The sequence below is a fragment of the Homo sapiens genome, chromosome 6, assembly GCF_000001405.40.
Source record: "Homo sapiens chromosome 6, GRCh38.p14 Primary Assembly".
In the NCBI taxonomy this organism is placed as follows: Eukaryota; Metazoa; Chordata; class Mammalia; order Primates; family Hominidae; genus Homo; species Homo sapiens.
Genome location: NC_000006.12, coordinates 130,758,025 through 130,775,595, shown reverse-complemented (window position 1 = coordinate 130,775,595; position 17,571 = coordinate 130,758,025). Strand labels below are relative to the sequence as shown.

Below are 17,571 nucleotides of genomic sequence, written 5' to 3'. Positions count from 1 at the left end.
GAGGTGGGCCCAGATGGATGCCTGCACATGCAGTGGGTTGCATTACAGGAGAGGAACTCTGAACTTGGAGAATCTGCCACTTTTGTAATAAGCAGAAGCAAGCCTGCTCTTTGTCTTAGGAGAGGTGTTGCCCTCGTTTCTCAAGGTTACAAACCCAGCTCTGAGAAATGCCTTGGGTAAAGAGTAGTCAGGGCCTTGTATTTTTGGTGTGTTCAGCAAGCAAATGCAGAGATTCTTGAGGCCAATAGTGGATTGCTTTTCCCAAGATGTACCGCATGAACTGAAGAGAACTGAGTTTTGATAGACGCACATGGCAAAGAGGAGACAGAATGGTTGGATAAGTAACACAGCAAAGGCTGACAAATGTTTAAAGTTCTTTTTTAACACCAAGTAGAAAGATATTTGAGCTCTTGGAAACTTGTAATTCTAAATGGTTTTTTTCTATACTCAGATTTACAGTAAGAAAAATTTTCCTTAGCAGAATGTCAAAAAATCTAATTCCTGAATATCTGAAATTCAGATTACGGCATTTTCTCCAAATCTCTCAGCTATGTCTTTGTCATTGCCCCCTCATATAGATCTATTAAATAGTATAATAAACATATATACTTATTTCAGTATTTGGGGTGTATATCAGAATCTCAATATTGTATTCTTGGTGGTGCCTCAAAATTGGCAAATTTACCATATTCTTTTGCCTCCTGAAAAGCTACAGCACTTCTTTGACGTCTTGGCATCTGCCAACATCTTCTATGTCAGGATCTCATTGATCCTGAGCAGGTGTGTTTTTTGATGTCAGTTCACTGCCTAAGAGGAATCCTTTTGAAGATAATAACAATTTCTCATTATAGACTATTTAAACTTAAATGGTTAGAATTGAGAAGGAACTTAGAAGTCATGTAGAGTTTATCCTTCCACACATCACGATACCACTCAAAAAGGTTATTCAAATCTGTTAGATTCTTCCAAAGACAGTGAGCTCACAACTTCGTGAATTCCACTCGTCTATTGCACTCCAGTAACTGGGAAATTCTTCCTCACACCACACCAAAATATACTGCCCTAACACTTTGGCATTTGAAGACATCTATATATTCATGCTATCTAGATGGTCCCTGTTGCCATGATATTTCTTGCTATATTTTTCTAAAAGCTCTGTGCTTCATCAAGACCTCTCAAAATGTGCTCAGAACCAAACAAAACAGGGAAATTACAATCTGGCTAGCAAAAAATGTAGAGAAACTATTATCTCCCTTGCTCAAGGTAATCTACTTTTCCTAGAGCAGTCTTTGTTTGCATTTTGTTGTTGTTGTTGTTTCTTTTTGGTAACAGCAATATCAGGCGTATCTATAAGGGATTAATTTAAACCCCCAAGTTTTTCTCACATGAACTGTTGTCAATACCTGAAATTAAATCTCTTTCTCTCTATGTATACACGTCCTATTGCTTCTATTTCTCTGGAGAACTCTGACTAATACAGTAGCTATAGAACTACTGTCTTCTTCTTACTGCATTCAGTTAAAAGTCTATTAAAATAGCAGGTCAGCCTCTCTCATGAATAGGTCACTGTATTAGTCAGTGTTCTCTAGAGGGTTAGGACTAATAGGATAGATGTATATATAGAGGGGAGTTTATTAAGGAGTATTGACTCACACGATCACAAGGTGAAGTCCCACAATAGGCCATCTGCAAGCTGAGGAGCAGGGAAGCCAGTCTGAGACCCAAAACCTCAAAAGTAGGGAAACTGACAGTGCAGCCTTCAGTCTGTGGTTGAAGGCTCGAGAGCCCCTGGCAAACCACTGGTGTAGGTCCAAGAGTCCAAAAGCTGAAGAACTTGGAGTCCGATGTTCAAGGGCAAGAAGCATCCAGCACAGGAAAATAAAGAAGGCTGGAAGTCTCAGCCAGTTTAGTCCCTCCACATTCCTCTGCCTGCTTTTATTCTAGCCACACTGGCGGCTGATTAGATGGTGCCCACCCAGATTGAGGGTGGGTCTGCCTCTCCCAGTCCAGTGACTCAAATGTTGATCTCCTTTGGCAACACCCTCACAGACACACCCAGGAACAATACTTTACATCCTTCAATCCAATCAAGTTGACACTCAGTATTAACCATGCCAGTGACATTATTATTTATTGCCCCGAAGGGGATGCTCTTGAGAGTGAAAGGGGGAGCTATCAATAATTTGCTGGTAAAAGAGGTGTAACCTGGGATTGCTGGAGGCAATTGGCACATATGGCCAATCCACTAATAAAGCATTAAAGCCATGTGATAATGCTGCCCAATGCAAATTTTGAAATGCTAGTACGGGTGATAACTGACAGACTGACATTTTGTAGGAGTGAGCAGGGGAGAAGTGATTAGCACAGTCTAATTCACTGAGGACTTTAGCCCCATTGGCCTGTTAGCTGAGAGGTGTTCTAGCACCGTCTAGACTCAACTCTTAAAGCACTTACCTGTCGTCATCACTGGGGACTATCCCAAAGTCTAGAATTCACAGATATGGAACGTTTTGACTAGTAGCACCTGACTGGCCACTTACTCATGATGTTTTCAAAAGTGGGATGCCTGGTTACTTTGCTGAGTTTGTGAGATGATGAATGGGAAGGGTTGATGGTGACAGCTCAGAGGAGACCAAAGGCCCAGAGGGTGCCCTGCTTTAGAAACTCACCTCCGCACACCTTTGAGGTTTGCATTAACACGATTCTCACTTTGTAGAAATTTCAGTCATTCATACATACTTCAAATTGTTTAAATCTCATGATTAGATTGATTCTCCTTCCCCATCCTCCACAAGCAAAGGAGTTGCTTAGGGGTGAGGAGAAGAAGAGAGTGAGAAGATATTCATGGAAAGTTGTGAAAATTGAGAATGAATTGGAAAATATAGGGCTTTCTGAAGGAGCAAAAGGTAAGATAAGGGGTTGCTATGCAGGGCTTTGTGAAATTTGAGAGCCTTGGTCTATAGACTGTTCACAGATTATTTGCAATCAAAGTAGAAATAAGACATTAGGATTTTAAAAAATTATTAAACTTTATTTTTCAGCTTAGTTTTAGGTTTAGCAAGATTGAGCATAAAATGCAGAGAGTTCTGTTATGTTCCTCCTTCTCCCTCAACATGCTCTCCCTCCCTCACTATGGACATCCTCACCACAGTGGTACATTTGTCACAATCAATGAACGGACACTGACACATCATTATCACGGAGAGTCTGAAGGTAACATTAAGGCTCACTCTTGCTGTTGCACATCCTATGGGTTTAGATACATGTATTATGACATGTATCCGCAATTACAGTCTCTTACGCAGTTGTTTCACTGCATCCCAAATCCCCTCTGCTCCACCTATTCATCCCTTCCTCTCCACTAAATCCCAATAACTACTAATATTTTTATTGCCGTAATATTTTATTGGCAAATAAATATTTTTATTTGCCTTTTGCAGAATGTCTTATAGTTAGAATTATATAAAATGTAGCCGTTTCACATTGGCTTCTTCAACTTAGTAATATGCATTTAAGTTTCCTTCGTGTCTTTTCATGGCTTGTTAGCTCATTTTTTTTTTGTAGTGCTGAATATTTCATTGTCTGCATGTACCACAGTTTATCCATTCACTTACTGAAGCAAATCTTCGTTGCTTCCAAGTTTTGGCAATTATAAAGCAGCTGTAAACATGCATATGCAGGTTTTTGTTTAGACATATGTTTTTAATTAATTTGCATAAATACCAGAGAGCAGAATTGCTGGATCAAATGGTAAGAATTTCATTTTGGAAAAAATTGCCAAACTGTCTTCCAAAGTGGCTGTACCATTTTGCATGCTCACCAGCAATGATTGAGAGTTCTTATCACTCCACATCCTTGCCAGCATTTGGTGTTGTCACTGTTTTGGATTTTGGCCTTTACAACAGGTGTGTAGTGATAGCTTCTTGTTTTAATTTGCAGTTCTCTAATGACGTGATGTTTACTATCTTTTCTTATGCTTACTTGCCACCTTTATCTTCTTTGGTGAAATGTTTGTTCAGGTTTTTTCCCATTTTAAAAATCAAGTTGTTTGTTTTCTTATTGTTGAGTTTCAAGATTTCTTTGTATATTGGATAACAGTCCTTTATCAGACATTAGACTTTTTATATAACGTTTCCTTTATTATTGATTTTTCTTCTGGGTTATGTATCCCATTGATTAATTATGATTAAGCAACTACAAATCTCAACTTTGTCTGCTGTGATATAAAGGGGAGGTACGGCTGAGTTTGCCAAATTTAAAAATGTTTTGCAAAAAAGCGTAAGGGTGTGGTTAAAAGGAGGGTGAAACAGGGAAAATGAAACAAGTTAGCCTTTAAAAATCCCTTGTTAAAATAAAATTGCCTCTCTAATAAGGCACATGGCAGCCTTTCTTATGTGTATAACATTGGAAAACCATAATTTTCTGTCCTGATTTAGATTGGGATCTTTTCAATTCTTCCTGAGGTATTCTCAAGGGAGTTTTTGTGAAGCAGGTTTTTGATCAACTTGCAAGATTAGTTTTGCCCAAGTTTAACTAGGTCATGCTTTCTCTTCTATCTCAGTGAGGGAAGAGAGAGACCCTCTCATATTATTTTATATTGTTTTATACTCAGAAAAGGAGAGAAGTGAAACTAAAGGCAGGTAGCCCGGCGCCCAGGAACCAGACCCGAAACCAGGCCTGGGCCTGCCTGACCTAAGCCTAGTAGTTAACATTTGACCCCTGACCTAGCAACTGATGTTTTCTATAGATTCCAGACATTGTATGGAAGAACATCGTGAAACCTCCCATTCTATTCTGTTTCACACTGACCACCGGTGCTTGCAGCCCCTGTCACATACCCGCTGGCTTGCTCAATTGATCACGACCCTCTCAGGTGGACTCCCTTAGAGTTGTGAGCCCTTAAAAGGGACAGAAGTTGAGCACCTGAGGAGCTCGGACTTTAAGACGCTAGCTAGCCTGCCGGTGCTCCCAGCTGATTAAAGCCACTTCCTTCACTATCTCGGTGTCTGAGGGGTTTTGTCCACGGCTCGTCCTGCTACATCAGCAGAAGCATAATTTGTCAAAAGCTGAAACAGACCAAATGTAGGATGTGATTTTTAAGAAGGTAAGTTTGGGATGTTAACAAATTAGTTTTATAATTTTAAATAGTTTCAAATTTAAACACCACAATGTTTGAGTGCTTGGGCTTTCATTTGGATAACTAGCCGATTGTGATTTATCTTTCTTCTCAACACCTGAGCATGTCGGGGGGGTCTGGAGTTTGAATTTGACAGTTACAATTTAATGATTTATTTTTGCAACACATTGTCTTGTGCCATCATTTAACTTTCCAAGTTTTCCTGCTTAATCTGCACAACTGAAAGAAAAACTCTTGTGCATTAGGGCTCTCCAGAGAAGCAGAGCCAATAGGATATAGATATATGCATGTATAGATAGATAGATATTTATTTTAAGAAATTGGCTCACAGAATTGTGGGGGCTGGCAAGTCCAAAATCTGTAAGGCAGGCTGGGTAGCTGGAAATTCAGTTAAGAGTTTATGTTGCAATCTTGAGTCTGAAATCTGCAGGGAAAGCCAACAGACTGGAAACTCAGGCAGAATTTCTATGCTGCGGTCTTGAGGCAGAATTCCTTCCTCCTTTGGAAACCTCAGTCTTTGTTCATCAGGCCTTCAACTGATTGGATAAAACTCACCCACATTATGAAAGATAATCTGCTTTATGAAAAGTCAACTAAGTGTAAAGGTTAATGACATCTGAAACAAACCTTCACTGCAACATCTAGACTTGTGTTTGATGAAAGAGCTGGGCACCATAGCCTACCCAAGGTGACACATAAAATTAACCATCCCATCTTGAAAACAGGAATTACAGCCTCTACTTCTTTGTGTTCACCAGTGTTTATGGTCTACTGAGTAAGGACATCCTGAGTACAGTAGCACCTCCTTATTCATGGAGGATATGTTCCAAGACCCCCAGTAGATGCCTGAAACTGTGAATAGTACCAAACCGTACATATACTATGTTTTCTCCCCATACATACATACCTATGATAAAGTTTAATTTAGTTAAAGGGCTTTAGTAGTTAAAATAGTTAAATTATGCACAGTAAGAGATTAACAGTAATATCTAACAATAAAATAGAACAATTATAACAATAGGATGAAATAAAATTTATGTGAATGCGATCTCTCTGTCTCAAAATATCTTAAGATTTTCAGATTGCAGGTAACTAAAACCACAAAAATCAAAATCTGATAAGGGGGTACTACTGTAACTTCACACTGGTTAAATAAATATTGAACTTAAATATTGTACACTAGTTTATCTTCTGAAAATTACATGCATAGTTTCTTACATGAATATGCCAGTGGTATCCAGTATAATTTAAAAATATTAAATGTACAGATAGGAAATACTAGTAGTGACTCTTAAAAAATTAACCTCAAATAGAGAAATGGAAAGAAATAGCATTTTGGGAAATAGGAACAGCATGAGCAATTGAAGGTGGTAAAAAAATGAGGTTGATTGGTTTGTAGGACAATGAGGGGACCTACCTGCCTTGAGGGAGGTGTGTGTGGGAGTGCTCGAAGTAAAACTGCCTAGGTAGAGGATAGCAATATTGTGGAAGCCACTGGAAATCAAGTGGAGAGATTTTCCTCTAAATGGCGGGTGGCCACTGAAGTATTTTGAGCAGGAGAGTGATATAATGACAATTTTTTTTCTTTAATCTGCACCTGTTAACAGTATTTGGAGCAGAAGTAATGAGGCAAACTGTGCCCGTTCATGACCTCCAAGAAGCAGATGCTAAGACAGAGTTAGACACGTGAAAGATTTGTGGAGGAGAGTAGGAATGTGAAAGATGAAGGGGAATGGAGCAGTAAGAACCTTGGGAACTGCACTGTCCAACAGGGTAGGTAGCCAATAGCCACATGGGACTGTGGCATTGAACATTTGCAATGTGACCATGTTGAGGTGAAATGTATGAAAAACACTCTGGATTTATAAGACTTAGTACCAAAAATCAAAAACAACCCCCCGCCCCCACATATATGAGAATGTAAAATATCTCCTAAATGACTTTTAAAATATTGGCTGTAGGCTGAAATAGTATTTGAAAATAAATAAAATATACCATTGGCAAGTATAAATGTATATACTTAAAACTTATTTTGCTTATTTCTTTTTATTTTTTCAATGTGGCTACTTTGAAAATTTAAAATTATGTGTATGGCTCACTTTGTATTTCTGAGTTAGTTCTGCTTCAGACCAAATTGTTGGTCTGATACTCATGAAAAGAGAGAGGGAAGAAGGATTAAGGAGGAAGTGTTGACAACTCAACTCTAAGAAAGTTTTGGCCAGGTGATGGGGAGTCCCTGATACGGTTTGGTTGTGTCCCCATCCAAAATTTCATCTCGAATTGTAATCTAAATTGTAATCCCCATGTGTTGGGGGCAGGACCTTGTTAGAGGTGATTAGATCATGGGGGCAACTCCCCCATGATGTTCTCATGATAGTGAGTGAGTTCTCACTAGATCTGATGGTATTATCAGGGGCTTTTCCTCCCTTCACTTGGCACTTCTCTCTTCTGCCACCATGTGAAGAAGGATGTGTTTGCTTCCCTTTTTGCCATGATTGTAAGTTTCCTGAGGCCTCCTAAGCCATGCTGAACTGCAAGTCAATTACATCTCTCTTCTTTATAAATTATCCAATCTTGGGAAGTTCTTTACAACAGTATGAGAATGGATTAATACAGTCCCAGAGCAAAGGCTGGCCTTTGGAAGAATCCTTCACTGCCCTGGAATAGGTTGACACTAGTATCCCAACCATGCTTAATCATTGGCTGGGACCATCTTGGGGAAAGCATGATCAGGATGCTACAGCAGCAATGGATGCAAAAGGGCAACAGCCTGTGGCTGTCAGCCAACTATGTAACCCACAGTGGATTCTTTGGAAGGAGGTCTGAGTGTACCAAATTTTCAGGGCTACTTCCAAAACCAGTACAGGGGGCTGGGCGTGGTGGCTCATGCCTGTAATCCCAGCACTTTGGGAGGCCGAGGCGGGTGGATCACGAGGTCAGGAGATCGAGACCACGGTGAAATCCCGTCTCTACTAAAAATACAAAAAAAAATTAGCCGGGCGCGGTGGCAGGCACCTGTAGTCCCAGCTACTCAGGAGGCTGAGGCAGGAGAATGGCGTGAACCCGGGAGGCGGAGCTTGCAGTGAGCCGAGATCTCGCCACTGCACTCCAGCCTGGGCGACAGAGCGAGACTCCATCTCAAAACAAAACAAAACAACAAAACAAAACCAGTACAGACAGTTCCCAACTTATGATGGTTTGACATGTGATTTTTCCACCTTACAATGATGCAAAAGCAATATTCATTCTGTACACTCCTTGATTTATGATGGGGTTACATCCGGATGAATTTTTTGTAAGTTGAAAATATCCTAAATTGAAAACACAGTTTGGGCATAAGATACTTTCAACTTATCATGGGTTTACTGAGATGTAACCCCATTGTAAGTCAAAGAGCAGCTGTACTTCTTACAGTAATTTAGGTAAACATCAGCTGGTTTACTTGCCAATGCTGTTCGGCCTGATGTCATGGCTCTTCAGTCATGTTTCCCAGCCTCTGTGTCTTATCTTATGTGACCCAGCCCCATTTGTGTGGAGAGCAGCAACCCTGAGTGCTACATGAGACAGACCCGTCCTCAGAAACTCTGAAACTTCACTCTAAGCATGATAACTTTCTAAGGCTCTGTGACAGGAAGGCAGTCAAACTGCCTCTTCGGTAGGTTAATGTGATTGTGTTTTTAACGCCTCTCCTGTGACACCACAACTTGCTGTTCTGGAGCCATTACTCAGTCAAAATTGAGATTTCTGACCCTTGAAGCCTTATTTGATCCTAGTTCTCTAAAAAAACACTGGTGAACTGAGAACACTATAGAATTTCAACTATTTTCATCCTAAATTCTCAATTTTAGAGTATTCCTGTAAAATGTTTGCAATCTTTAAAAATGATAAGCCAATCCTGTACAACCGTGCACTGCATAATGACATTTCAGCCAATGACAGACAGCCTCTATGACTGTGGTCCCATAGATTGTAATGGAGCTGAAAAATTCCTATCAGCTGGTGTTGTCATAGTCTTCACAACGTTGTAGTGCAGTGGATTACTCATGTGTTTGTAATGGTGCTGGTATAAACAAACCTACTGTGCTGCCAGTCATTTAAACGTATAGCACATGCAATTATATACAGTGCATCATATTTGATAATGAATGGCTATGTCAAGCCTGACTGAGCAGCTGTATGTGGTTCCAACAATTTGTTTGGCTGGTTAAGCCCAACCTGGTCTCAACTCTGGACCACAGCATTTTGGGCCCAGTGATGATAAGAAGGAATGTATTCAAAACTTCAAGCCATGAGAAATACCAAGTGATGTTTTGTGAGCATCTTGTCTGACTATATCCTACGTATAACCCCCCAAGCAGCCTCAAATCCACTCCCTTCACCGACATCTTCGGACATACATTGGTAAAGGAAATGCCATTTCTGGGATGGGCCATTTTTGGAAGACTGGGGATTCTGGTAGGAGACCACATAGTTGAAATGGGCTACCTGATTTCAGTGTTAACAAGAGGATCCAGGGGTGGCAGAGGCCAAGTAGCTCCACAAAAGACAAAATCTCTTCACAGAGATAAAATGGGCATTATTTGCATAATTATCAGTAGGGTCAGCATGCTAATATAAATGTTCTGACTCAAATAGATTTTCAATAGAGATTATTGATATTAGGGTCTCTGGGACCAAACTAGACAGATTACACAGGTCTGAAGACTAAAGGATAATTACTCCTAAAAATCTGCAAATCTGCTTGCAATTTTTTTTGTTTAATTTCTCATCCTTGCATGCTTGATTAAGTTGCTTGAGAACAAGACATTGGCCTCAGTCAGTACCACCAGGGGATCAGCTACCTCAGTTTGTAAGTTTTAGATAGTTCCACAAAACAGTGAGCTCCTGCAAACTGCTGACTGAAGCAGAAGGACCTTGGAATGCACTGAGGAGGAGGAGGGTCTATGTCCCTGCACATCACAGCTAGGGAATTGCATGTGACTCAGTTTGACAGTTAGGTACTCTCTCTGGAACTTCTACCTTGAAAGATGACTCAAGAATCCAGAGATGGAATAGATTCATTCATCTCAGTAGTAGCGATGGTCATCTGTGCCTTGGGCTGATACTGTTCCGTAATCTGGTCTGAAATTCCTGTAGCCTAGCAGGAATCCTTGGTTACTTCTTGTTTTCCAAATAAGGCTGTTTTCTCCAGCCTTGCTTCAATTCCATGAGCTCTCAATCTTTCCATTACACTGCCTTTTGCTTAAGATAGCCCGATTTAGGTTCTGTTGCTCCAACCAAAAATGCAGTTAATTAAATGCAAAAGATAATTTTAGTTTTTTAAATTTAAACAATTATTGTAGTTGAAAATATCTCTCTGCCAAAGTTGAAAACTTTAATTTATTTTCTACTAAGAGGTCTTCAAATACTGTGGAGAATCGAGTTATCTGAGTTCAACTGAATATTGTTTTATATTTCTGGGATTTCATGTTTCTAATTTCACCTTTTCTCTTTCTCAGTACATTATCATACTCATCGGAGAATCAGAAGTACAGAATATCACATTTCTGTGTTATCACATTGTTGACAAAATTCTTTCCCAGAAGCATTAAAAAAAAAAAAAAAGCCAAGTATTTACTTACAGTTCTGGAACTGGAGTGTATGACTGGATTGATCACTTGTGATTTATAACCTCAAGCCTAATACTCATTAGTTCACTAATTCAGTTGCTCCTTTCATGAAATGGAGAATTTCATAGCATGCATTCTTCCAAACACGTCCCTCATAATTCTTTTTTGAATTTTTAAAGCATCCATAGATATGCATACAAATTTCATAAATGTTTCTCTACTCAAATGCATTGTACTAATCACATCAAAAGGATCGAGTCTGAAGTTTCATGTTTGTATTTCCTTTCAGATACATTTTTACCTGTGAAATGTTTCCACTTTTCCTCCCTATTTTAAGGATAAATGACAGATCTGTTTTCTTTAGCCTTACACTGACACATCTCTGAGAATAAAACAATAGGGAGATATGTAATATTCAGAAGTGTGACTCTCAGCTTTTTGTTGAATGACTGACTTTCTGGGTTCATTCAGAAACCTATGGACAAATAGTGCCTTTTTTTTTCTTTGCTTGCTTGCTTGTTGTTTTTTCTTCCTCCAGCTCCCTCTTCTCCTTCTTTTTGGATCTTAAATTTGTCTTCTTGTATTTACTAGCTTGAACTGGAATATGGGTGTTTTCAATCAGGACAACACAATAAACCCATTTAAAAATGAATGGTATAACACTCCTTTGGCTACTCAGAGCATCAACCACAGCTCACAGTTTGGAGGAGAGACTGTGCCAACATAAAAATTTTGGGTAGTTGGTTTTCTGTCTTGTTCTCTGTGCCTCAGAGCCTGCTGTTAACCTGAGTAGGCTCTGCTAGAGGAGAGTCTCTATAATATAGGGACCTCTCTAGGGTCACCTGCTGCCCTTTTCTTAAATTGGTGACTTGTTTCTGAATGCAAGCCCTATGGAAAGAGCTCTTCTGTGTGACAACAGACTGTGCTGGTGCCCATGTGGCCTGCCTCTTTGCTTATATATTTGATTATTGGCTATTTCTGGATTCTCCTATTCCTGCTCTGGCTAAAGGTAGGGCACAGTGTGACTGTGTGTTGGATTCCCTGAGAGTGAGATGGCTTATCTGGATTTTTTTCCTTTAGTGGGTGGTTGGACTTTGTAGAGTCTATATTCTTTTTACCAGACTGGACTTTCTCTTCCACCTGAAGCTGAGTTTGTCTGTTCCATATGTCTCTGTCCCAGCAGTTGTGTTGATGTCTAAGCTCCAGCTGCTCCTAGCCTGCCCTGTTCAGCTACTGTTGGCCAAGTGGTACCAGGACGTGCCCTGGAAGATGGAAAATTCCTCTATAGCATCTACTTTATTCTAGCTTATATTTTGGTGGTTTTTATGTGCTTTGATTTTCACTGAGGGTCAAGCCCTTTGATTACCAGATGCCACTTGTGTTTATATGCAAATCAACCCAAACCCTGGGGGCGTTCAGTATATAACTTTAGACACTTATGGAGTTCCTTAGCAGGATCTTCCTAGGAATTAACTCTGCCTTCTATTGCAGTATCATCCATGTTTAATCTCTGTCATGCTGTGATCCTCCAGGAAGGCAGTGTGTTTTCACATGTGACTCTGGATTGAGGTCCCTCTTGCTGCTAGCCCATCTGCCACATTCATCTTCCCCAAGAATGTAGCTTGATTCTGCCAGACCCCTGGCAGGTGGAAAATGACTTCCCATAACCTACAGAATAACATTCTGAATCTTTGGGATGACCTATACATCCCCTCACAGGATGCCTCAATTTGCCTACCCAAGATATTTCTGACAACTCCTCTGGTAGTCACTGGTGATAGAGATGAACTGAATAATTGGATTATGCCCTCTTCCACTCCATGGTTTTCTACTTTTCTGCCTCTGTGCACACTGTCTGCTCCATGCTCTTCCCTAAGAAAATTCTACTCATCCTTCAAGGTCCATCTCAAATGCTCTGAAGATTTCCTTAATCTCTATAACTAGAGACGGTCTCGTGCTCCTTTAAACTTGATGATATTTTTGGCCAGGCACTGTGGCTCATGCCTGTAATCCCAGCACTTTGGGAGGCTGAGACAGGTGGATCACCTGAGGTCAGCAGTTCAAGACCAGCCTGGCCAACATGGTGAAACCCTGTCTCTATTAAAAACACAAAAAAATTAGCTGGGCGTGGTGGTACATGCCTGCAATCCCAGCACTTGGGAGGCTGAGGCAGAAGAATCGCTTGAACCTGGGAGGCAGAGGTTGCAGTGAGCCGAGACTGCTCCACTGCACTCCAGCCTGGGCGACAGAGTGAGACTCCATCTCAAAAACAAACAAAAAACAACAATTTTTTTGTTGGATTTTTGTTTTTGCATTATGTCTTGAATTATAGTTGTGTATTTAATTTCTCTTATTTTTAAATTCTTAACAAAATTTTGTGGATATATAGTAGGTGTATATATTTATGAGGTAAATAAGATGTTTTGAGACAGGCACGCAATGTGAAATAAGCACATCACGGAGAATGGGGTATCCATTCTGTTAAGCATTTATCCTTCGCGTTAAAACAATCCAATTACATTCTTTAAGCTATTTAAAAATATACAGTTAAGTTATTTATGATTGTCACCCTATTGTGCTATCAAATAGTAGGTCTTATTCATTCTTTCTATTTTTTTGTACCCATTAATCATCTGATAAGGTTTGGCTGTGTCCTCACCCAAATCTCATCTTGAATTCCCATGTGTTGTGGGAGGAACCCGGTGGGAGGTGATTGAATCATGTGGACAGGTCTTTCCTGTGCTGTTCTCGTGATAGTGAATGGGTCTCATGAGATCTGATGGTTTTATAAGGGGGAGTTTCCCTGCACAGTCTCTCTCTCTTTGCCTACTGCTATTCATATAAGATGTGACTTGCTCCTCCTTGCCTTCTGCCATGATTGTGAGGTCTCCCCAGCCATGTGGAACTGTAAGTCCATTAAACCTCTTTCTCTTGTAAATAGCCCAGCATCGGGTATGTCTTTTTTAGCAGCATGAGAACGGACTTAGCAGAACATCTTTGAGTCTCATTTTTCTGTTGAAAATATTTATATCTTATCATAATTTTATGGTGTGGTGTTTTCCAGTAAGTTGCATTGCTCCTTTTTTTTTTTTTTTTTTTTTTTTTGAGACAAGGTCTCCTTCTGTCACCTACGCTGGAGTGCAGTGGCAGAATCTCAGCTCACTGCAACCTCCACCTCCTGGGTTCAAGTGATTCTTGTGCCTCAGCTTCCCAAGTAGCTGAGACTATAATTACACACCACCATGCCTGGCTAAGTTTTGAATGTTTTGGTAGAGATGGGGTTTCATCATGTTGGCCAGACTGGTCTTAAATTCTTGACCTCATGTGATCCACCCTCCTCAGCCTCCCAAAGTACTGGGATTACTGGTGTGAGCCACTGAACCCGGCCAAGTTATATTGCTTCTTAAGTAACTTGCATGTGATGTTTCTTAAATAGTTTTAGTGGAAATATCATTAAATTGAACCAGTAGCTAATCCACCATAAAGAATTTTTCCAGGAATAGATGTTCCATTGTCATCTGGATTCTACTCTTTCTAAAGAAAAGAAAACCATAATTATTATGATTGATCCCTTTATGGGATGAATCTTTTGAAACTCTGGCTGCTTTTAAGAGTTTTCACTTCATTTTTTTTTCTTTAAGTTTTCTTATAATGTTACCAGTTGTGGTTTTATTTGTTTTTATCCTATTTGGAATTCACTAAGCTTCCCAAATCTGTTTTTGCTTAAATATAGAAAAATTTTGGCCCATGTTTCTTCAAATGTAATTTTTTGCTTGACTTTTTTTTTTTCTCTCCTTTCTTTCTGGGGCTCCAGTTACATATATGTTAAATGCTTGATATTATTCCACAAGTAAATCAGGTTCTGTTTATTTTAAAAAATATTTACCTTTTCTGTGCTTCAATTTAGATGACTTTCGTTCACTTGTCTTCAAATTCACTAACTCTTTTTTCGTGATGGCCAATTTTTTAAATTTTTGCATAATACATGCTCATGTCTTGGGGGTACATGTTACAATTTAATACATTCATATAATTTGTACAGATCAAATCAGTGTAATTGGGATACACATCATCTTAAATATTTGTCTTTCTTTATTCTAGAAACATTCAAATTATTCTCTTCTAGCTATGTTGAAATATATAATGGATTATTATAAACTAGAGCTACCCTACTTATCTGTCAAACATTAGGTCTTATTTCTTCTATCAAGCTGTATATCTGTATCCATTAATAACTTCTCTTCATCTTCCCCTTATCCTTCTCAGGTTCTGGTAAGCACCAGTCTACTCTTTACCTTCATGAGACCCACTGTTTTAGCTCCCAAATATGAGTGAGAACATGCAATATTTGTCTTTCTGTGCTTGGCTTATTTCACTTAAAATAATGACCTCTAAGTCTATCCATGTTGCTGCAAATGACAGGACTTCATTCTTTTTTACGACTAAATAATATTCCATTGTGTATATGCAGCCAAATTTTCTTTATTCATCCACTGATAGACACAGGTTAATTTCAATATTTTGTATGTTGTGAATAGTGCTGCAGTAAATAAGGGAGTGCTCTTTCTTTATAATTTACCAGTTGATTTTCTCTTTCCTCCCAACCCCGACCAGGTCACTGCCTCCCTTTGAGCACTAGATGGTGCTTTAAGCACAGGTTGTCTAGGTTCTAGTAAATGTCCCAAAGGGAATATCCTGATAGAGTGGGAAGACTGGCTAGGGTGTCATGCCCAGGAAACCTGCAGGACAATCCTATAGCATGGTGCTGCTGAATAGCCACTCTGATTTGGCATCTCCTTTGGCTGAATTACAGAGCAGTTTCCAGGCCTAGGATGGTAGTCCTGCCTCCCCTCTTTGTTTTTGGCTGTCCTCAGGGCTATTTCTCCCTTCAGGCACTCCTGTTGATTCCTGGGGCTGAGGCAAGGACAGATCTTCTGCCAGGAAACCCAAGATGATGGGGAAGCCAGTTGTCCATCTTCACCTCACTTTTTGAGAAACCATGAGTCAGGGAAAAATTTTCTGTGCACTTGGTGCTAGGCAGATTGGGGGAAGGATGTCACAGACATGGAAGTCTGATTCTCTTACTGTCTACTAAGAGATTCTGAGTTTCTTCATTTCTTTGTGGCCTCAGGAACTGTCTCATTCTCATATTTTAGTTTTGGATATTATTGCTGGTGATAATCTTGGGGCTGTATATTTGTTTTTGGTTTTCTGTTGGGAGAGTGGTGCCAGCTAGCTTCTATGCTTCCATTTTGGAATGAGAAATTTCTCAAGAGATTTATTGTATATCATGGTGACTACAGTTAATAACAATATATTGTATATTTGAAAATTGCTAAGACAGTAGTTTTTAAGTGTCTGTACCACAAAAAATATAAGTATATGAAGTATTGCATATATTAAATAACTTGATTTAGCCATTCCTCAATGTATACATGTATTAAAACATCATGTTGCACACCATAAACATATACAGTGTTTTATTGTCAATTAAAATAATTAAGTAAAGAAAACCCCCAAATAAATTACTGTGCTAGGTACTATGAAGCAGTTCAAAATAGAATAAGTTCTCAAGAAGCTTTCAATTCCATATAGATGATAAGAGAATCAAGTTAAAAGATAAATTCAGAAAACAGAACAGCTGTGTTGCTGCTTGTTTTCTTTGTCAGACTTGGATCTCTCATCCAACAAATGAGAGTACTAATGCCTATTCCATAGGATCATTGTGAGAAATTTGTCAGATTAATGTTTATAAAATGCCTAGGGTAGTGTTTGGCGCTTAATTGGCATTCATTAGATGACAGGGTGGCTTGTGGCTGATGTGGCCTCTGCTGTTCTTCCTGTTGGTGTTGTTGATGCTCACCAATGAAAGCAGTCAGGAAACCTCCATTTTACACATGATTGAACTGGAAGGACATTGTATTTGAATTCTAAATAAATGGGAGTACGCATTGGTGTGTTCTAAAGATCTTCCCGAGAAGAAGGTGTGGGGAGAGACAATGCAGGAAATACCCATTTTGACTTCCTTATAGGTCTGCCCTAAGGAGAAACCATATACCCAGGGCCTGGGGAAGTTGAGTAAGGGATTCAAGACCAGGAGAGGTTGAACCTCCCTTCACAGCTACACATCTCTTCTTGTTATTTCAGGAATTGAAAGGCCTGAAAAACAAACAAGACAGATATTTTTCTAATCTTTCAGAAGCTGACTCTCCCACAGTCCCCTAGAGCTAGGCCCAAAGCACAGTCCAGTGGAGAATGGGTAGGGAAACAAATTGGGTCTCTGCTTTTCCCAATCTCTCTTCCTTCGTCTATTGTTCTCTATTTCTCTGTTTCACCCAGAAAACCTCCGCTTCTGTACTGTAACCCCCAGATTCTGAACTCAAAACTGACTTATCTTGATACCAGTCCTCACTATCAAATGCTCCAGAAAGGGGAAAATTTTGGCATGGATTTTTCAATGATGTAAGGGAGGAACATATTTTTCCTCTACTCTCAGGTTCATTGACTGGAGCCCTGCAAATTAGATTGACAAAAGACAGATTAACAGGATAAAAGGCATATAAGTTCTATTGGATTTTTTTTGCGACACAGGGACCTTCCTAGAAAACACATGAAAATCTCAAGAAACAGATAGGCCTGAGAGCTTATATACCTATTTAACAAAGAGTCATACATTGTGGAGGCATGTCAAGGCAAAGGAAAGGGGTTTTTAGACTTCTAGGGGCTGAAAACTGAGGAATGGTAATGACATGGAGGAAACTTACAGAAGATAAAAGCTATCTAAGCAAGGTTTGTTTGTGCAGATCCATCTCAGTGTCATCTTTC

General features: G+C 39.6%; 1 long non-coding RNA gene across 1 annotated transcript in view, besides 1 other annotated feature; it reads left to right on the top strand.

Moving 5' to 3' along the window:
• Positions 62–231: an enhancer, noted in NCBI's record as "experimental_89674 CRE fragment used in MPRA reporter constructs". NCBI's record gives its function as "activates a minimal promoter by MPRAs in K562 erythroleukemia cells, with activity observed for the introgressed 6:131096595 variant allele {active_cell/tissue: K562}" and the evidence as "EXISTENCE:reporter gene assay evidence [ECO:0000049][PMID:34662402]".
• LOC105378003 (uncharacterized) overlaps positions 4,925–17,571 on the top strand; it is a 29,316-nt gene continuing 16,669 nt past the window's right edge. The window contains exon 1 of the long non-coding RNA XR_942991.2: positions 4,925–5,104. This is a non-coding gene — a long non-coding RNA (uncharacterized LOC105378003). The remainder of the gene's footprint in view (positions 5,105–17,571) is intronic.